General features: G+C 50.0%; 2 protein-coding genes across 14 annotated transcripts in view, besides 4 other annotated features; one reads left to right on the plus strand and one right to left on the minus strand.

Annotated features, from left to right (window-relative positions):
• The window catches only part of ACAA1 (acetyl-CoA acyltransferase 1), a 14,413-nt gene extending 4,924 nt beyond the window's left edge, over window positions 1-9,489 (minus strand). For 2 of the 6 annotated variants that reach the window (XM_006713122.1, NM_001607.4), the window contains exons 1-7: window positions 9,227-9,489; window positions 8,954-9,047; window positions 6,314-6,371; window positions 4,288-4,367; window positions 3,958-4,000; window positions 1,652-1,750; window positions 148-228 (exon numbers count right to left, since the gene is read on the minus strand). In XM_006713122.1, coding sequence (XP_006713185.1) covers window positions 148-228; window positions 1,652-1,750; window positions 3,958-4,000; window positions 4,288-4,367; window positions 6,314-6,371; window positions 8,954-9,047; window positions 9,227-9,397 — 626 coding nt within the window. In that variant the 5' untranslated portion in view covers window positions 9,398-9,489. Of the gene's footprint in view, window positions 1-147; window positions 229-1,651; window positions 1,751-3,957; window positions 4,001-4,287; window positions 4,368-5,852; window positions 6,254-6,313; window positions 6,372-8,953; window positions 9,048-9,226 lie in introns of those variants that run through there. The other 4 variants (NR_024024.2, NM_001130410.2, XM_011533650.3 and 1 more) reach the window with 4 other exon arrangements.
• Window positions 10,604-11,547: an enhancer, noted in NCBI's record as "H3K27ac-H3K4me1 hESC enhancer chr3:38179733-38180676 (GRCh37/hg19 assembly coordinates)". NCBI's record gives its function as "activates a minimal SCP1, AML or CMV promoter by ChIP-STARR-seq in naive H9 embryonic stem cells {active_cell/tissue: H9 hESC(naive)}" and the evidence as "EXISTENCE:reporter gene assay evidence [ECO:0000049][PMID:30033119]".
• Window positions 10,707-11,116: an enhancer, noted in NCBI's record as "active region_19679". NCBI's record gives its function as "activates an Ori minimal core promoter by ATAC-STARR-seq in GM12878 lymphoblastoid cells {active_cell/tissue: GM12878}" and the evidence as "EXISTENCE:reporter gene assay evidence [ECO:0000049][PMID:35858748]".
• MYD88 (MYD88 innate immune signal transduction adaptor) lies at window positions 11,023-15,384 on the plus strand. 8 transcript variants are annotated; one of them, NM_001172567.2, is made up of 5 exons: window positions 11,023-11,390; window positions 12,226-12,360; window positions 12,750-12,954; window positions 13,119-13,210; window positions 13,494-15,384. In NM_001172567.2, the coding sequence occupies exons 1-5, from the start codon at window positions 11,063-11,065 to the stop codon at window positions 13,646-13,648; spliced, it is 915 nt and encodes a 304-aa protein (NP_001166038.2). In that variant the 5' UTR covers window positions 11,023-11,062; the 3' UTR covers window positions 13,649-15,384. The 8 variants fall into 8 exon arrangements, with proteins under 8 accessions (NP_001166038.2, NP_002459.3, NP_001361716.1 ...); NM_002468.5 differs by having other exon boundaries at window positions 12,750-12,930; NM_001374787.1 differs by having other exon boundaries at window positions 12,750-12,930; window positions 13,162-13,210.
• Window positions 11,617-11,746: an enhancer, noted in NCBI's record as "active region_19680". NCBI's record gives its function as "activates an Ori minimal core promoter by ATAC-STARR-seq in GM12878 lymphoblastoid cells {active_cell/tissue: GM12878}" and the evidence as "EXISTENCE:reporter gene assay evidence [ECO:0000049][PMID:35858748]".
• Window positions 16,233-16,292: an enhancer, noted in NCBI's record as "active region_19681". NCBI's record gives its function as "activates an Ori minimal core promoter by ATAC-STARR-seq in GM12878 lymphoblastoid cells {active_cell/tissue: GM12878}" and the evidence as "EXISTENCE:reporter gene assay evidence [ECO:0000049][PMID:35858748]".

Below are 20,637 nucleotides of genomic sequence, written 5' to 3' on the forward strand. Positions count from 1 at the left end.
TTCCCACCCCCAACCTGGGTGGCACAAGGCCTGGAAAGCACTCACTGCCCAGCAGTAACCACGAAATGGTGCCACTTCAGACCACTTAGATAGACTCAAAACCTCACTCTCCAGCCCTTTAAACATTCCTCCCCAATCAGCACTCACTTCTGCTGGGAAGCCAGGGCAAAGGTATCCTGCTTCTCCCGTGAAATGCCAAACCGCTCAGCCACATTCTCAGAGGTTATCCTAGAACACAAACAGCAGATAGTGTGGGCATTGGTCTGACAGCCTAGAGGAAGGGACCAGGCTGTAGAGCTGTGCTTGGAACTTTGGGTTCCCAAGGCTGTAGGCAGGACAGGATGTAAGGGCCAGTCCATGCCACAGACAGTAGTGATGACTCAGGATATGGTACAGCCTGCCCTGAAAGTGGATATAAAGGCACAGATAGGGAAGTCAGCAATGCTGGCCAGATCCTGAGAAGCTCATACACCAAAGAGACTTTCTTCAAGAGAGGGCAGCCTGCATGGGGGCAGTTGCAGAAAGGAGTTTGTTCCCTGGGTGAGCTGCCTCAGCGCAGGGTAGAAAAGGAGCAGGGGAGGGCCTGGGTGGGGGCACTAGTTGGCTACTCCTGGCCAGCTTCTCCTATGCCTCAAGGAAGACTGCTGCAATGTAGGGAGATGAGGACTCCCAAATCTCCTCTGGAAAGGCCAAACCTAAGCTTCCTGGTCACCTTGGCTGGGGTCTATGCTTATCCTGAGAACCTAGAGCCACAGCTAGGCCTTCCAGCCTGGGCTTCTGGCTTTATAGGCTTCCCTTGGAGATACAGTATGTGAAAGAAGCCATGGCACTGCCCCTCTCCAAGCCTCAGTCTCCTCATATGTCTAGTGGATCCAGGACTCCTGGCCCAAAGACCCTGGGGATGGCCCAGAGGCTCAGAGAAGCTAAAGTGTTCCATACAAATGCCACATACTTTTCTTTTTTTCTTTTTTGAGACAGAGTCTCCCTCTGTCACCCAGGCTGGAGTGCAGTGGCACGATCTCAGCTCACTGCAACCTCTGCCTCCTGGGTTCATGCCATTTTCCTGCCTCAGCCTCCCAAGTAGCTGGGACTACAGGCGCTCACCACCGCGCCCGGCTAATTTTTTGTATTTTCAGTAGAGACAGGGTTTCACTGTGTTAGCCAGGATGGTCTCGATCTCCTGACCTTGTGATCCACCCATCTCGGCCTCCCAAAGTGCTGGGATTACAGGCATGAGCCATCGCACCCGGCCAAATGCCACATACTTTTCTTGTTGCACCTGACAGGGCCCAATTCCCCTCACCAGCATGTTCTGTCGTCACAAGCTTCCCACTGCCTTCTCAACTTTCTAGGCCCCCAAGGCTTTGGAGTGGAGCTACCATTGTCCTTCCTATGACTGAGCACCTCAGTGTGGGAGTGACAAGGTGGGCGATGTTTGGAAACTCGGGGGCACAGAGAGGACCTGGGGCCTTCAGGAAATGGAAGTCAAGGGCAACATCAAGTCTCATCCCCAAAGTCCCTGCGGAGCAGACCATGCCCAAAGGAAGGAGGCCAAGGCTTGGCACCACCAGCCACAGAGATGATAAAAGTTCCTTGGCTCCCTGCCCCAGGCAGAGAGGGCACAAGCACACAGAGCTATGGGAGCACTCACCCCATAGGAATCAGGCAATCTCTGGCCTTCTCCTTCTCCATCAAGCGCGAAGTAATATTTCCAGGGTTCCCTCTGTCAGCCAGGGACATGGACTCCACCCTGGGGAGGAGGAAGAGGAGGAGAAGGTAAGGTGAACTGGGCCCTAGCAGGACTCCTCCAGAGATAGCTGAACACTTGGCAAGTGCTAGGAAATAGCCAGGGAGCCCTAGGAAGACCAGTGGGCCTCTGGGAGTCACAGGCAGGGCACTTGGCCAGCAAGGCCCAGCCACGAGTACTGAGCCCTGTCTCTATTTCGACCCCCACCCCAGGACAGAGCACTGCACAATAAACACTCCTGGGGGCAGGGCTATGCTTCCCTATACACTGCTAAATCAGCCAACTGGCAATTCCAGAGAAAAGCCTTCTGCTGTCAGCCACAGAGGAGGAAACACATCCACAAGCCAGGGCCTGCCCTCAGGGCCCACAAATTCAGAAGGGAGAAGAGACAATTTGAAAGTAACCACAGGCCGGCTGTGGTGGCTCACGCCTGTAATCCCAGCACTTTGGGAGGCCAAGGCGGGCAGATCATGAGGCTAACATGGTGAAACCCCGCCTCTACTAAAAATACAAAACATTAGCCGGGCATGGTGGCAGGCGCCAGGGTGGGAGGCTGAGGCAGGAGAATGGCGTAAACCCAGGAGGCGGAACTTGCAGTGAGATGAGATCGTGTCACTGCACTCCAGCCTGGGCGACAGAGCGAGACTCTGTCTCAAAAACATAAATAAATAAAATAAAAATAAAAGTAACCACAAAGCTGAGCTCAAAGGGCATTCAGACCTGCATAGACAAGGAAGTGCTACGAGCTGAGAGGAAGGAGACGGCAGTGTAGTGTGGTCAAAAAAGGGCTTTGAGGCCATGGGGGACCCTAACACCTCAAGGGATGATAACAGATAACCTTGACTGAGTGCTTTTCACGTGCCCAGCACTATTCTGAATTCTTTTGAGATATTAGAGTGCTTCAGTGTCAGTCACATGACAGACAAATACTCCACAGTGTAAACTGTTGCTATTACTCCATTTATTCTTCTCAACTTCAACAGAGCTGAGCTAGGTATCCCCATTTTATAGATCAGGAGACTGAGGTCTAGAGAGACTGTATAACTTATCCATGGTGACCCAGCCTGGATCCACATTTAGGTAGTCTGGTCCCAGAGCCCACTTCCAACTAGAGTGCCCTGTGTTAAATACTTGCTGATCAAAGTCTATGGAGAACAGTCAGCCTGTGATGTGGGTGTCAGGCCTGGCCCAGATCTTAATATCCTAGTACCATCATCCTTAACCTGCTTGGGAATCAGATACTCTCTAAGAAACTCATAAAAGCTCCAGCCCTTCTCAAGTTATCCATGCCACCTCTCACCCAGTAAGATAGAAGAGCATGAGAGAAATCAAACGGCAGTGGCCTTTGCCCAGCCAAAGTCCTTGCAGAGTGGTCTTTGGCTTTATTTACAACTGTAGACATAGGTCATTACAACTCAGTGACAGCTGCCACAGCCCTGGGACAGGGGCCAGCAATGCGTCCTCTCAAGAAATACCCTAAAGAGGATGTGAAAGGCAGCGGAGGCATGTCAGAACCCTGGGGCTGCTCACCTCCCCCAGCCTGCCAAAGACCTTACTCCCCTGCCCTCCCAGCACCAGATGCCCACCCAAGCCTGGGCACCTGTGCCCTGACCTTCCCTGGAGGCACTGCCAAATACAACTTCTGCAGCTCCATTTGCTGCAGCCAATGATGGAGCCACAGTCTAGGTGAAGGTGACAGTGACCAAACCACCACAGATCTAATTATGTCCCTCATAGCCCATAAGCAGCTGGAAGTTTCCACACTGGTTCCAAGGTGGGGAGACAAAGGGACAGACAGCCTAGTAAAATGAACAAACTAGTTATACAGTAGGCGCTGTCCCTGGCTTTAGGGAACCCAAACTGCAACTTCTCTCTCAGCAGCATCATGAATCAACAAGGGCCCCCAAAGGAAACCCAAATGCTGGATTTTCTCAAAATGTTTTCCCACCTTTTCCAGCCTGAAAGATTTCCAAGAAAGTAAGCTTTTAGAGGCCAATTCCCCTCCCCTGCTAGTGCTGAGAGGTGTGAGTGATTCCTGAGCAGCCAGAGTTGGTAGCCACTCTTAACCTGCATTTGTGAGAACCCACTCGTGGCCAGCTGCCTAAAGGGGATGGGGGGAATCCTGAAATCATGGCCTCTGAGAACTCAGATGAAAATTAGTTTTATTGTCACAAGTTGGTTAATAAGCTCCGGCAGAAAAAAATTCTTACCCACAGGCCATGCCAATGTCATAAGACCCATTTCTGATGCCACCTGTAACAAAAGCATTTCATAAACATCCTTTGCCAGAGTCCACCTGTTCTGGAAGCAGTGGAGCCTCTTCCCCACCTGGTCTCTAGATGGGACTCAGCCCCAGCCTCAGAAATGGAAGACCCAGGAGTGTTCAGAAAAGGCTTTGGGCAGTGGTAGGGGGCGCTCCTGCACTCTTTCTGTGGTTAGAGTCCTCAGAAATGGTAATTATTGCTTGCCCGGCAGACAGCGACTTTGCTGACCCAAACCCACAGGTCCAGGACCAAGGCACCCACCCAGTCATAACTTACCTGCTATGCTGGCCACTGCCTGTAGCCCCGACGAACACTGTCTATTGACAGTGGACAAAGGCACAGTCTCCGGGATGTCACTGAAACAGAAGGTGAGAAAGTAGAATCAGCCCCCAATTCCATGCCAGGCTCTCATGGAAAGCAGTCCTATGCTTCTAACTGCCCCCCTCAAGGGATGTAAAGGGCAGGGGAACAAACCCAGCAGCTCTGCTCCCATGCCAGGCCAGATCCATGGAATGGGGGTGAGCAGCTACTGGGCAGACCCCATCTCTGCAGGCACTTGCTCCCCAGGGCCCCACAAGCACATTCCCTTCTACTCCTATGAGAATCTTCAATCAAAGACCAAGCACAGCCCAAAGGCAAGGGAAGCCTGTTTGGGCCACAGGGATCCTTCTCTCTCTCTCCCTTTGAAGATTCAGAAATGAAAACTGTGTATCTCTGTTTCCCCCAAAAAACAGAGAAAAGGAACTGCTGCTGGGACAGAGCACCAGAGCAAAAGAAATGCCTAAAGTCTGAGGCCAGGGACCACTCGGCCTTACCAGTAATCATATAGCTAACCCTGCATGTTCCCATGGACTCTTGAAAGCCTGATCCCACCTAGACGAAGCACTCTGATGGGCATCATATATTCTAACATCCATTGCTCTGGTAGGTTCCCCAAGACTCTCATACTGGTCTTAGCCCTGGAAGCTAGTAGGGCTTCCCCTCCTGATGTAACCTGCCTTGGCCAACAGTACAAAGCCCTAGGGAAATTTCCAGACCTCCTCAGACCCACAGACTCAGAATCTGAGGGAGTGGAAGCATCCTGGTGATTCTGGTGTGTAGCCAGAGTTGGGAACCTCTGAACTAGTGCCCAGGCCAGGCTCTGCAGAGACTCTCTCAGGGGGATAGCCTCCTGTGCAGCCTGTTTGACCCTTCCAGGGTCCCTTAACTCCCTAGCAGGTAGTTACCATTCCTTCACTCAATCCACCAAGTGTTCACTAAATACCTACTTACCACAAGGCATCACCTGAGGGATGCTGCGATGCTTATAACACTGTGCCCTAGAGGATGCCCAACCAACACACAGAAAATGAATCAACTATCAGAGACTGAAATAATAGGGCAAGAGGGCAAACCACATCACAAGGAAGTATATGGCTACTGCTGGAGAGGAAGGGGCTCTCAATTTCAGCCTGAGAGCCTGGATAACTCATGCCAAAATGGTGAGACTGTGTTTAGGCAGGGTTTGTCTTTCTGTCTAGGGCAGAAAGAGGAGGTAGGGCTAGCACTTCAAGGAGACAGAATGACCATATCAGGGAAGACAGTAGGCCCACAGCCGGCTGAACGAAGAAAAGTCAAGGTGAGTAAGCAGCTAGGAGATGAGGCTGGAAGGTAAGTCTGGAGCCAGATTGTAGGGGGCCTTGAACTACAGGCTGGGCAGTCTAAACCTCTCCCAGTTCCTAGAGGGTTGTTTTCCTGTTCCTTCACTAGCTAATGTTCCTATTTATTTATTTATGCATCTAGAAGTACAAAGCCAAGCAGTTCTTAAATCTACACATGAAAATAATTTAAGCACTCTTTACCCTGCAGGCGCTTAAAGGAAAGTTGACCAGGTCTCCTCCTGAGGGTCCTCCTTCCCCATGGTTCTGCCCTATCCCAAAGTCTCTGCTAGTGGGATATGACTGGAGTTCTCAGCTCAACTAGTAAAAAGGCTGAAAGTCACTTTTCAGCATTCTTACTTGATTACTCACCTGACAAATGAGGACAGAGTCCACACTCACAAAAGGCAAATGACAACCTGGCTTTGGCTAAAAATCAAGCTACAGAGAACTTCTGCTCCAGTCCCAAAGGTTTTGTGTATCGTGGCTCAGCACTTCAAAGTAGGGGAGAGGTTGAGTCCACAAGAGCAGGGAGCCAAGGACTCTCGTTGCCTCATTCTGGTGTCCAACCTTATCCTCCCCAACCTGCACACTGAGTTTCCTGGGGCCTGGGCCCAGTAAAGTGTCAAAATGGCCAACCCATGGCTAGAACTAGAAAAGTTTACCTCAGAAACTGGGCGATTCGGGCCATGATTGCCCCGGCCCCAGGCTGCAGCACATTTCCTGTGGACAACAAACTTTCATTCAGTGCCAGGCGGTGGTGTTCTGGGCACTAAAGTATAGCTGTGAAAACCAGAGATGAGGCATTCCAGATCTTTCTTCGGGACACTAGCCCTTGGCAGGCTCACTTGCAACTCTGGAACATCAGGGTTTGGGGCAGGGAGAGCCAGCCATACAACAGCTTGTCCTGGTCATCCACCAGCTCCTGTCCCTGAGGGTCCCACGCTCACTTGCCCATGCACCCAGCTTTTCCAAATCAGCACAGATGGGCAGGTTGTCTGCCCTTAAAAGTGAAATGGGAGTTTCTGAAAATGCACATCTCCCCAGGTATCCTCCTGTGAGCCCTGCTGTCACCCCAGAGAGGTGGAACAGTGATTGCCGACCTAGGGGTGGCATCCGCTGGATAAGACTCTTGCCATATCATATTGCTGTATTTCAAGGTGAGGGGTGGAATAGAGGGCTGGACTGAAGATTGTGGGGAAAAGAAAGATCAGATTGTTACCGTGTGTATGTAGAAAAGGAAGACATAAGAAACTCCATGTTGATCTGTACAAAGAAAAATTGTTTCTGCTTTGAGATGCTGTTAATCTGTAACTTTAGCCCCAACTCTGTGCTCACAAAAACATGTGCTATATTGAATCAAGGTTTAAGGGATTTAGGGCTGTGCAGGATGTGCCTTGTCAACATATGTTTGCAGACAGTATGCTTGGTAAAAGTCATCGTCATTCTCCATTCTCTATTAACCAGGGACATGATGCACTGTGGAAAGCCGCAGGGACCTCTGCCCAAGAAAGCCTGGGTATTTGTCCAAGGTTTCCCCCCACTGAGACAGCCTGAGATATGGCCTCGTGGGAAGGGAAAGACCTTACTGTCCCCCAGCCCGACACCTGTAAAGGGTCTGTGCTGAGGAGGATTAGTAAAAGAGGAAGGCCTCTATTTCCCGCACATCCCTGGGAACGGAATGTCTCGGTGTAAAGCCGACTATTGGTTCTATTTACTGAGATAGGAGAAAACCGCCCTGTGGCTGGAAGCGAAATATGCTGGCAGCAATACTGCTCTGTTACTCTTTGCTACACTGAGATGTCTGGGTAAAGAGAAACAAAAATCTAGCCTACATGCACATCTCAGCACAGTACCTTCCCTTGAACTTATTTATGATGCAGATTCCTTTACTCACATGTTTTCCTGCTGACCTTCTCCCCACCATCACCCTGTTCACCCCGTTTTGCCTGAAGAGGGCCTGCCCCTCCACACCTGTGGGTATTTCTCGCAAGGTGGAGACGAGAAACTGAGAAAAGAAATGACACAGAGACAAAGTATAGAGGAAGAAAAGTGGGCCCAGGGGACTGGTGCTCAGCAATTGAGGACCTACACCAGCACTGGTCTCTGAGTTCCCTCAGTATTTATTGATCACTATCTCTACTATCTTGGCAAGAGGGATGTGGCATTATATACCATTACTATAAGGTAATGGTGGGGAGGGGGTCAACAGGAAAAAATGTGAGCAAAGGACTCAGTGTCATAAGTAAGTTTAAGGAAAGGTGCTGTGCCTGGATGTGCACATAGGCCAGATTTATGTTTGACTTTACACAAACATCTCAGTGCAGTAAAGAGCAGTATTGCCGCCAGCATGTCTCACCTGCAGCCATAAGGCGGTTTTCTCCTATCTCAGTAAATAGAATGTATGGTTGGGTTTTACACCCAAGACATTCCATTCCCAGGGACAAGCAGGAGACAGATGCTTTCCTCTTATCTCAACTGCAAAGAGGCCTTCCTCTTTTACTAATACTCCTCAGCACCGACCCTTTACGGGTGTCTGCAAAGAGGCCTTCCTCTTTTACTAATACTCCTCAGCACAGACCCTTTACGGGTGTCGGGCTGGGGGACTGTAAGGTCTTTCCCTTCCCACTAGGCCATATCTCAGACAATCTCAGTGGGGGGAAACCTGGACAATACCCAGGCTTTCTTGGGCAGAGGTCCCTGCGGCCTTTCGCAGTGCACTGTGTACCTGGTTAATCGAGAATGGAGAATGGCGATGACTTTTACCAAGCATACTGCCTGCAAACAAATGGTTAACAAGCCACATCCTGCACAGCCCTAAATCCCTCAAACCTTGATTCAATACAGCACATGTTTCTGTGAGCACAGGGTTGGGGCTAAGGCTACAGATTAACAGCATCTCAAGGCAGAAAAATTTTTCTTAGTACAGATCAAAATGGAGTTTCTTCTGTCTTCCTTTTCTACACAGACACAGTAACAGTCTGATCTCTCTTCCTTTCCCCCACACTGCCGCACTCCCCTTGCCGAGATAGTGAAAATAGTAATCAATAAATACTGAGGGAACTCGGAGACCGATGCCGGTCACCTGGGCCCACTCTACACTTTGTCTCTGCGTCTTATTTCTTTTCTCAGTCTCTCCTCCCATCTGACGAGAAATACCCACAGGTGTGAAGGGGCAGGACCCCTTCAAAGGTCAAGGCCATGGAGGTTCCCCCAGTGAAAATTCGGGGCGGGGAGGTGAGGAGAGCTCTGGACGAACGGAAGAACGGGGAAGGCCCAGCGCAGGGCCTGAGTGGTTCGCTCACCGACACAGATGTCCCCCAGCTGTTCCGGCCTCAGATTCACGTCCTTGAGAACCGCGGTCATGACTGCCGAGAGAAGCTCGTCGGGGGTGGTGTCCTGCAGCAGAAAGAGCAGCCGCAGTGACCCCCACTCCCCCATGCCCACCCCAGGGAGACAAAGCGACCACAGCTGGGTGCGGAGCTGCCTCCGGCGTCCAGGATAACCAAACATACGAACCGGACCCCAGCCCGCGCCGGCGTCTTCCCACACTCGGCGCCCAGACCCTCGGGCCTCACCTTGAAGCCGCCGCGGCCCGCCCGGCAGATGGCCGTGCGCCGCCCGTGCACCACCACCACGTCCGCGGCCGAGGCCTGCGGGGCACCGCTCAGGCAAGGCGCGGCCTGCGGCATCCAGCCGGAATCGGCCGGACCCCTCAGGTGGCCCAGCACTACCTGCAGCCTCTGCATTGCGCAGGTCAACCCTGCAGACCAGCCACCAGTCCGGGAACTGACCGCGGAGTTAACAGACAGCCGTCCGCACACGCGCAGAACCACATCTCAGCCTCCAAGGCCTCAACTCCGCCCACAGCTCTGCGAACAGACGCGAGCGACCCTCCAAAAGTCCCGTCCACCTCCAGCCTCAGCCAACCACAAGGAGAGTCGGCCTGGGAACCCGCCCCTCCCCGCCACCGCCTACCAAGCCCTCTATAGGAGGGCCCACAGGCACCGCCCAGCCGAGCTTTCCACTCAATGCCCCGCCTACCTTGGCCTACCGCAGCCAACCAGAAGGTGTATCTTTACGAATCCCCGCCCAGAAATGCAGACCGGAAGTCTTTCCACCTTTTGTAGCCAAACCCGAGACCTGACCCCCAAATCCCTGTCTCCTGCCCGCAGCCAAACGGAAGGCTGGGCAGCCAGGACCGCTTACTGCTTGGGGGCTGGAGATGGAAGCCGAGGCTCTAATTCCTCTACCCACTTCCTAGGAGGCTCTGCTATCCCTCCGGTCCCAGTACCCGAGCTGGGGGACCTAAATACTTCCGAGACGCCCGAGTCCTGCTCCGACGTGGTTGGGCTTTCCCATTCTTTCGAGAAGACAGGGAATTTGGGCTTCCGGGCTGGCCGGGAGAACAGATTTTACAGACATGCGGGGTGTGACAAGCTCTCTAACTGGAGAATGAACATTTCACACTTTTACCAGTTTTACACCCAATTGGAATGATTTTATTAGTGCCCATTTCCCGTGCTAGGCTGGGGTCTCCACCAAGGCAGAGAGGTACCATGTATCCGGGGAGCCTGCGACACCCTTGACACTTAGTAGATGATCAATAAGTACTTGTCGAATGAGTAAATGAATGAACCAGGGCTCCCCAGGTCAGGACTGTGTCCCTAAACCTAAAGGGCAAGGCCACGTGCCCCCTTGACTCCCAATAGCAGGGCCATGTCTTCACCTGAGACCCTGGAGAGTAGTGCTGGGCTTTCCACAGACACCAAAGGACAGGGTGCCTTGTGCTCCCCAACCTAGTGTCATGACGTCCCCAACCATTTCGAGGGCAGGGCCACGGCATGCCTCAGGCTCCAGAAGGCAGCTGTCCGTTTCCCACTCCCACCTCGGGGAGCACAGCAGGGGTCTTCCCATACCCCTACTGGCAGGATTGCGTGTTCCCCAGAGACAGTGGAGGGCAGAGCTGGTGCCTTCCCACTTGTCCCCTCCTCGCCATCCTCGAGGGCAGGACCGTATGAACCCCTCAGATTCCTCCGTGGAAGAACTGTGGCTCCACCAGATCCCAAAAAGCAAGGCCCGTTTCCTACAACCCCCGAAGGAGGGTCGTCCTCACTCCGCCGCCAACCTACTAGCACCATCACCAGACCCTCGAGGGCGGTGCCGTGGACCTCTCCAGATCTCAAAAGGCAGATTCCTACTTCTTACGCCCCCCACATCACCCGCCTCGAGACCTCAAGGGTAGAGGTGGGCACCCCCGCCTCCGCACTTTTGCTCGGGGCTCCAGATTGTAGGGCAGGGCGGCGCTTCTCGGAAAGCGAAAGCCGGCGGGGCGGGGCGGGTGCCGCAGGAGAAAGAGGAAGCGCTGGCAGACAATGCGACCCGACCGCGCTGAGGCTCCAGGACCGCCCGCCATGGCTGCAGGAGGTCCCGGCGCGGGGTCTGCGGCCCCGGTCTCCTCCACATCCTCCCTTCCCCTGGCTGCTCTCAACATGCGAGTGCGGCGCCGCCTGTCTCTGTTCTTGAACGTGCGGACACAGGTGGCGGCCGACTGGACCGCGCTGGCGGAGGAGATGGACTTTGAGTACTTGGAGATCCGGCAACTGGAGACACAAGCGGACCCCACTGGCAGGCTGCTGGACGCCTGGCAGGGACGCCCTGGCGCCTCTGTAGGCCGACTGCTCGAGCTGCTTACCAAGCTGGGCCGCGACGACGTGCTGCTGGAGCTGGGACCCAGCATTGGTGAGGACGTCCCCTTCCTGGCCTCGTACCTGGGGGGTGAGGAGGCTGACTTTCCGCGGCCTCAGCATCCTGTCTCCCATGGAGAGACCCCATTTCCTGCCTCGGGGGCCCGAAGAAGCCTGCAGAGGGAGAACCATGCGGGTCCCGTTCCTTCTTAATAACCGGTCGCGGTTATTAAGAAGGACTGGAGAAAGGTCCGGATAGGCGGAGATGGGAAGGAAGCAGCTTAGGCAGAGGCTTTCAGGTAGGGCCAGGAGTCAGAATCAGGCTTCTGTGGGGGCATCTGGGCTGTTTCAAGTAGAGCAACAGGACAGGTGGGGCGATTGACAGTGGACTGTCTTAGAAACCTCAAGTCCTGGGGAAATGCAGCCCTTCTTTCTACTCACTGGCACTTACATAATATACATGCATAGGCGTTGGATACAGCCGCCCACAGACAGGCACACCTTGCTGAGTTGGAATCACTGCACCATAACCAGTGGGTCTCCTGAGCCTTTCTGGCATGCCCAGCCCCTTGCTCACATCTGCCCTGGATCCCAGAAGAAGCAGACCTACCTTGGTACCATTCTTAGGATCCCTAGGAAGGGACAGAGATACAAACCTGACTTTGATGGCCTTCCAGAAAGCCAGAACACCACTGACATCCCTTTGGGTCAGTTAGAGCCAGTGGGAGCTCAACTTCTCAGAGCCGTTGAGCTTCGCGTGGCACCAGTGAACTGGGGAAGCCCTCTAGAACAACCCAGCCAGAGGAGGTGGGACAGCGGCTGGATCCTGACTGTGGGTAAAGAGGTAGGCACTCCCAGGGAGGCTGCTTTACTCTGTCTCTTCCCCACAGAGGAGGATTGCCAAAAGTATATCTTGAAGCAGCAGCAGGAGGAGGCTGAGAAGCCTTTACAGGTGGCCGCTGTAGACAGCAGTGTCCCACGGACAGCAGAGCTGGCGGGCATCACCACACTTGATGACCCCCTGGGTAAGGGTCCAATACTGTTCCCATGGGACAGGTGGAATAGGACATTGTGGTGTTAAGAGCATGGGTGTTTGAAGCAGATGGGCTGTGAGACCTTGGGCAAGTCACTTAATCTTTCTGAGCCTCAGTTTCCTCACCTAAGAAATGGAGATAATAGTCCTACCTCTGGATTGCTGTGAGATGCTCATGAAATAATGTCTGTCTCGTGGTTAATCCAGAGCTTAGCCCCTGAGGTACTCATCTTTCCTCTCCTGGAAAGGGCACTTTCTCTGAGGAGTATCATCTTGGGAAGGGTGCAGGGCCCAGGGTTGCCTAGGCAGGGGACTCTTGGCTGGATCCCTCCCAAGCCTTCCCATGGAGCTCTGACCACCACCCTTGTGCTCTGCACCCAGGGCATATGCCTGAGCGTTTCGATGCCTTCATCTGCTATTGCCCCAGCGACATCCAGTTTGTGCAGGAGATGATCCGGCAACTGGAACAGACAAACTATCGACTGAAGTTGTGTGTGTCTGACCGCGATGTCCTGCCTGGCACCTGTGTCTGGTCTATTGCTAGTGAGCTCATCGAAAAGAGGTTGGCTAGAAGGCCACGGGGTGGGTGCGTGGATGCATGAAGCCCTGCCCTGGGGTCCAGATACTGGGCATCTCCTCCTAGCTGTGCACTGTCCAGCCTGGGCACAGTGGGCCCTTCCTGAAGCTATTCCCAGGGGATATGCTGAACTAAGTTGCCACAGGACCTGCAGCCTGCCCACTCTCCCCTAGGTGCCGCCGGATGGTGGTGGTTGTCTCTGATGATTACCTGCAGAGCAAGGAATGTGACTTCCAGACCAAATTTGCACTCAGCCTCTCTCCAGGTAAGCTCAACCCTGCTCTGGCAAGAGAATGAGGGAATGTGTAGGTGGGGCCTCTGGATTGTCAGCCTTCCCTCCCCAAGGACTGTGGATGCAGTACCAAAGAACTGCTGAAGATCTCTGCACACCTGAGCATGTGTGCATGTGTGTGCCTTTTTGTGTGAGTGAATGTGTGCCAGGGGTACTTAGATGGGGGATGGCTGTTGTTAACCCTGGGGTTGAAGACTGGGCTTGTCCCACCATGGGGCAAGGGCCTGATGCCAGCATGGCACCCCTTGGCTTGCAGGTGCCCATCAGAAGCGACTGATCCCCATCAAGTACAAGGCAATGAAGAAAGAGTTCCCCAGCATCCTGAGGTTCATCACTGTCTGCGACTACACCAACCCCTGCACCAAATCTTGGTTCTGGACTCGCCTTGCCAAGGCCTTGTCCCTGCCCTGAAGACTGTTCTGAGGCCCTGGGTGTGTGTGTATCTGTCTGCCTGTCCATGTACTTCTGCCCTGCCTCCTCCTTTCGTTGTAGGAGGAATCTGTGCTCTACTTACCTCTCAATTCCTGGAGATGCCAACTTCACAGACACGTCTGCAGCAGCTGGACATCACATTTCATGTCCTGCATGGAACCAGTGGCTGTGAGTGGCATGTCCACTTGCTGGATTATCAGCCAGGACACTATAGAACAGGACCAGCTGAGACTAAGAAGGACCAGCAGAGCCAGCTCAGCTCTGAGCCATTCACACATCTTCACCCTCAGTTTCCTCACTTGAGGAGTGGGATGGGGAGAACAGAGAGTAGCTGTGTTTGAATCCCTGTAGGAAATGGTGAAGCATAGCTCTGGGTCTCCTGGGGGAGACCAGGCTTGGCTGCGGGAGAGCTGGCTGTTGCTGGACTACATGCTGGCCACTGCTGTGACCACGACACTGCTGGGGCAGCTTCTTCCACAGTGATGCCTACTGATGCTTCAGTGCCTCTGCACACCGCCCATTCCACTTCCTCCTTCCCCACAGGGCAGGTGGGGAAGCAGTTTGGCCCAGCCCAAGGAGACCCCACCTTGAGCCTTATTTCCTAATGGGTCCACCTCTCATCTGCATCTTTCACACCTCCCAGCTTCTGCCCAACCTTCAGCAGTGACAAGTCCCCAAGAGACTCGCCTGAGCAGCTTGGGCTGCTTTTCATTTCCACCTGTCAGGATGCCTGTGGTCATGCTCTCAGCTCCACCTGGCATGAGAAGGGATCCTGGCCTCTGGCATATTCATCAAGTATGAGTTCTGGGGATGAGTCACTGTAATGATGTGAGCAGGGAGCCTTCCTCCCTGGGCCACCTGCAGAGAGCTTTCCCACCAACTTTGTACCTTGATTGCCTTACAAAGTTATTTGTTTACAAACAGCGACCATATAAAAGCCTCCTGCCCCAAAGCTTGTGGGCACATGGGCACATACAGACTCACATACAGACACACACATATATGTACAGACATGTACTCTCACACACACAGGCACCAGCATACACACGTTTTTCTAGGTACAGCTCCCAGGAACAGCTAGGTGGGAAAGTCCCATCACTGAGGGAGCCTAACCATGTCCCTGAACAAAAATTGGGCACTCATCTATTCCTTTTCTCTTGTGTCCCTACTCATTGAAACCAAACTCTGGAAAGGACCCAATGTACCAGTATTTATACCTCTAATGAAGCACAGAGAGAGGAAGAGAGCTGCTTAAACTCACACAACAATGAACTGCAGACACAGCTGTTCTCTCCCTCTCTCCTTCCCAGAGCAATTTATACTTTACCCTCAGGCTGTCCTCTGGGGAGAAGGTGCCATGGTCTTAGGTGTCTGTGCCCCAGGACAGACCCTAGGACCCTAAATCCAATAGAAAATGCATATCTTTGCTCCACTTTCAGCCAGGCTGGAGCAAGGTACCTTTTCTTAGGATCTTGGGAGGGAATGGATGCCCCTCTCTGCATGATCTTGTTGAGGCATTTAGCTGCCATGCACCTGTCCCCCTTTAATACTGGGCATTTTAAAGCCATCTCAAGAGGCATCTTCTACATGTTTTGTACGCATTAAAATAATTTCAAAGATATCTGAGAAAAGCCGATATTTGCCATTCTTCCTATATCCTGGAATATATCTTGCATCCTGAGTTTATAATAATAAATAATATTCTACCTTGGAAACTTGTGTGTGTGTTGAGTGGAAGAGGTTTGGAAGCAGTAATGTGGGTAAGAGAAGCTGGTCCACTGGGTGGGTTCCAGCCTGGATTTGGCACGGGCTTCCTGAAAGCTGGGCCCCCTCCTCACAGGTTCAGTCCTAAGCAGGGCTGCAGGCAGAACCAGGAATACTGACCTCAGCTACAGACACTCAGGAGACTGCCCTTCTCTGGCCATGTCCAATCTTTTCTTGGTTGTGCCATGCTCCTGGGTCCTGGTCCAGTCTTGGAGTAGGGGCTGATCTATGCTCCAAAGAGAGTCTGGAGGACCCCCCAACTCCAGCCCCTGAGCACTGCATTGTTACTCCTAATAATCTTCTTTGGGCACATCTATGTTAATCCTAAAGGTACTGATCTATTTTTAAAGAAAATATTGCTTTTTCACTGTTGAAGAAAATTTGGAAAAGATAAAGAAAAAAACTCACACATCATAATTCCAGAGAGAACTCTAGTGACATTTTAGAGTGCTCAGACATTGTCAGTGACAGTAGCTTTTTTCTCAATGGTCTATCTGCTGCCACGTCCTGGCTCCTGAGCCACCTGGATGCTGTAGCCTCCCCAGCCTTGCCCCTGTGCCCTCAGGGACTCCTGGGAAGGCCCTGTGTACTCAGAGAACCCCTGAGGCCGAGTCTTTCTCTCCAGCATCCCCTGGGGAGCAGAGCCACAGTGTGGCCCTGGCGGTGCCCCCAGGATCTGCCATGTGCTGCCCATGGCTGGGAAGACAGTCCTGGGCTGGTCCCCTCTTGGGAAAAGCCTCTCTTCTCTTAGGCCAGGCTGTTGACCCAAATGTGCTCTCCCCACCCCTATCTGACCCTCACACTCCTCACACCTGCCTGTCTCCAGTGCCTTCCTTCCCATTAGCTGTGTTCCCAAATGTAGATAAAGCTTCCTCTTCTCATTTTCAGTTTTAGTCCTCTACGAGCATTTAAAAGAGAAACTTTCCTTTTTCAATAAGGAAAATTTACGCTGAAATTATCAAAGGCAAAGCAGGAAACTTTGGAGGGCAGCAGCATAGTTGAAATTCAAAACTACGATTCTGTGTGACGATGGAGATGGATTCCGCCACAAGTCAATGACCAGGGAGAGAATTGGGGAGAGGGATTTCCTTTAGATTAGATAAGACTTGGGTCATAACGATCAAATATACTGATATAGTATAACTTTGTTGGATTCTGGCTCAAACAGAGCAATTGTAAAAAGACAATATTGAGTCATATATCTGATAAGGGGTTAATATCTGGAATGTATAAAAAAAAAAACTCTTAGAAATCAACAACAAAAGAAACAAGCAACCTAACTCAAAAATGGGCAAAAGACTTGGGCAGAAGTTTCTCCAAAGAAGATATACAAATGAGGGACAGGTGTGGTGGCTCACATTTGTAATCTCAGCACTTTGGGAGGCTGAGGCGGGTGGATTGCTTGAGCCCAGGAGTTGGAGACCAGCCTGGACTACATGGCAAAACCCTGTCTCTAAAAAAAAATACAAAAATTAGCCAGGCGTAGTGGCATGCACCTGTAGTCCCAGCCACTCGGGAGGCTGAGGTGGGAAGATCGCCTAGGAGACGAAGGTTGCCGCAAGCCAAGATTGCACCACTGCACTCTAGCTTGGGCAACAGAGCGAGACCCCATCTAAGAAAAAAAAGAAACAAACAAAAAGAAAAAAAATACAAATGGCCAATAAGCACATAAAAATATGCTCAATATCACTAATTAGGGAAAGCAAATCAGAACCACCATGAGACAGATACCACTTCATACCCATTAGGATGGCTACTATCAAAAAAAAAAAAAAAAAAAAAAAAAAATATATATATATATATATATATATATATATAACAAACATTGAAGATGTGGACAAATCGGAACCTTTGATCACTTTTGATGGGAATATAAAATGGCATAGCTGCTATAGTAAACAGTATGGCAATTCCTCAAAAAATTACAAACAGAATTACCATATGACCCAGCAATTCCACTTGGGAGTATATACCCCAAAGAATTGAAAGCAGGGTCTTGAAGACATGTTTGTATATCCATGTTTGTAGCAGCATTATTCACAATAGACAAAAGGTATAACCAAGCCAACATCTATCAACAGATGAATGGGTAAATGAAATGTGGTATATATGTACAAAAGATTATTACTTAGCTTTAAAAATGAAAGACATTCTGACATATGCTGCAACATCAAATAACTTTGATGATATTATGCTAAGTGAAATAAGACAGGCTGGGCACAGCGGCTCATGCCTGTAATCCCAGCACTTTGGGAGGCTGAGGCGGGTGGATCATTTGAGGTCAGGAGTTCAAGACCAGCCTGGCACACATGGTGAAACCCTGTCTCTACAAAAAATACAAAAATTAGCCAGGCATGGTGGTGCATTCCTGTAATCCCAGCTACTTGGGTAGCTGAGGCAGGAGAATCGCTTGAACCCGGAAGGTTGAGGTTTCAGTGAGCTGAGATCATGCCATTGCGCTAACAGAGCAAGACTCTGTCTCAAAAAAAAAAAAAAATTCACACAGCAGAACACTGGGCTGGTAAGGGTGGAAGATGAGGGGCCGCACCATCAATTTAGGGGAACATTGTCCCCACTGGCTGCTATTTGCCAGATGATACAGAATAAATGTTTTAAATGCCCTTGGGGATGTCTGGTTCTGAGACAATATAGAGTAAAAACACTTCTCCTTATTCCCTCTGCTAAATACAGGCAAAACACCCTGGACATTATATAAAACACAAATATAAGGAGACTCTGAAAGGTGGAGAGAAGAAGATAGAATGGTTAGGGACCTCAGGACCTATGGAATGACATGGCACTAGCCTAGGGTTTTCTTTTTGCCTATGCCTAATGGATCTCAGACTGAGTATGGAGAAGGCAGAAACCTATAAACTAATGAGTACAGGTAAAGGAAAAAAAAGAAAAAAAAAAAAGGAAAACCTGCTTTTACTAGCCAAACGACCAGAAAGGGACAGTCTTGCAAGAAAGAAAGTTTGTAGACAATAACCACTCCAGCTAAACCATAGAAAAAATTGTAGTATTACCTACACCCTGCCAGCAAAGGCAAAATGGGGAATCTAAATTTCCACTCCCACCTTCTTGGGTGTCAGAGTGGGTCTAGTAGAGAGTCAAGACTTTCACCACTGCCCAGCAGTAATGTCCTCTATCATGTCAGTGGAGGCCAGATGGGGAGTAGTAACAAGGCATCCTTCTCCCTCCCAGCCAAGGTGGTATCAGGGGAGACTTAGTGGGCAGCCTGAACTCTCATCCTGACCCAGCAGTAACTAGGCACTCTCTCCCTTGTTCTCCCTCACCTCTACCCTGGGATGTCAATAGAGTAACCTGCACTTCTACCTCCACCAGACAGCATTGTTTTGATGTCAAAGAAGGCTAACTAAAACAGAAGATCCAAATGAGATCCAGCCTCATTACATAGCATCCAAAATGTCTAAGGTTGAAAATCAGTCATCATACCAAGAACTAGGGAAATCTCAACTTGAGCAAGAAAAGACAACCAACAGATGCTAACACCAAAATGACACAGATGTCAAAATTTTCTGACAAGAACTTTAAAGCAGCCAGTATAAAAATGCTTCAATAAGTAATTGTAAACATGCTTGAAACAAATTTTTTTAAGTTTCAGAAAAGAAATAGAAGATATAAACAATTAAATTGAAACGTTAGCACTGAAAAAAAAAAAAGAAAAAACTTACTGGATGGGTTCTGTTGTAAGATGTCGATAGCAAAGAATCAGTGAACTTGAAGACAAACCAATAGGAACCACCCAATCTGAACAAAAGACAGAAAATAGACTGGAAAAAAATTAAGTCTCAGGAATTTGTGGGACAACAAAAAAAGTCTAACATGTATGTCATCAGAGTCCCAAAAGGAGAGGAAAAATAAGTTGGAGCTAAAAGGGTATACAAATAAATATGGTTGAAAATTTGCCCAATATGGAAAAAAAAACAACCCATAAACCTATAGAGCTGATAAGGTGAGCAAACCCCAACCATTATAAACCCCAAGAAATCCACACCAAGGTACATCATAGTCTAACCTCTGAGAATTAAAGACAAAGAAACAAATATTGCAAGCAGCCAGAGAGAAATGATGCCTTACCAATAATGAACAAATTTTTGAATGGCAGCAGATTTCTTTCATTGGAAGCCACAGAGGTCAGAAGACATTGGCCCAACATTTTTCAAAGACTGAAAAAAAAAACTGTCAACTCAAAATTCTATATCCAGTTAAAATATTATTCAGGAATGAGGAGGAAATCAAGACATTCTCAGTTGAAGAAAAACTATGAGAATTTGTCAACAGCAGGCCTACCCTAAAAGAATAGCCGAAGGAAGTTTTTGAAACAGAAAGAAATACAAGAAAAAAATCTTGGAATACTAAGAAAGAAAAACAAGAGAAACAGTAAAAATATGAGTAAATTGAGTACGCTTTAATTTTCTTAAATTGTCAAAATTATATCTGATGGTTTAAGCAAAAGATTAGTTTAGTGGTCATGCGCAAGATAGATTACGGAAGTTGATAAGCACAGTGGTAATTTCTGCTTCAGGCAATTTCACAAACAAAAAAGAGAAATGAAATGACTACTGGCTGGGAGAAGAAACTCTGGGATCCCCACAATTTCCTCTTTCCTCAAAATATGTAATCCATCAGGTTACCTCCTCTCCTAAACACTCTATGCATTGTCTGATGTAGTTTTCAACTTATGTACAGGAAATATTTGGGACAGCTATAAATGAGGGAGAGTCAAGGCACTTAAAGCAAGGAAAGGTGTCTATACCTCACTGAAACTGATAAAATGTCAACACAAGTAGAACTGTGATAAGTTAACATATGTATAATGTTACACCTAGAGCACCTACTAAAAAATCTGTTCAAACAGATACTCTCAAACACTATAAATAAATCAAAATGAAATTCTAATTTCATTTGGAAGTGCCCAAATTATAGAGCTGGAGAATAGATCAGTGGCTGCCAGTGTTTTGGGATGGTGAGGGAGCGGAGTGGGTGTGACTACAAAGAGGCAGAGCTTTACGATGTTGCAGTACAGGCCGGGTGAGGTGGCTCATGCCTGTAATCCCAGCACTTTGGGAGGCTGAGGTGGGCAGATCACAAGGTCAGGAAATCAAGACCATCCTGCCCAACACGGTGAAACTCCGTCTCTACTAAAAATACAAAAAATTAGCTGGGCATGGTGGCACGCA

This window comes from Homo sapiens, chromosome 3 (assembly GCF_000001405.40).
Source record: "Homo sapiens chromosome 3, GRCh38.p14 Primary Assembly".
NCBI classification, from domain to species: domain Eukaryota; kingdom Metazoa; phylum Chordata; class Mammalia; order Primates; family Hominidae; genus Homo; species Homo sapiens.

Bases quoted from the DNA above. Each gene is read 5' to 3' on its own strand.
- MYD88 (NM_001172567.2), top strand. From the start codon at position 11,063: ATGGCTGCAGGAGGTCCCGGCGCGGGGTCTGCGGCCCCGGTCTCCTCC. The intron at 12,955-13,118 runs GTGCGTGGATGC...ACTCTCCCCTAG, and splicing joins GCTAGAAGGCCACGGGGTGG to GTGCCGCCGGATGGTGGTGG. The intron at 13,211-13,493 runs GTAAGCTCAACC...CTTGGCTTGCAG, and splicing joins TGCACTCAGCCTCTCTCCAG to GTGCCCATCAGAAGCGACTG.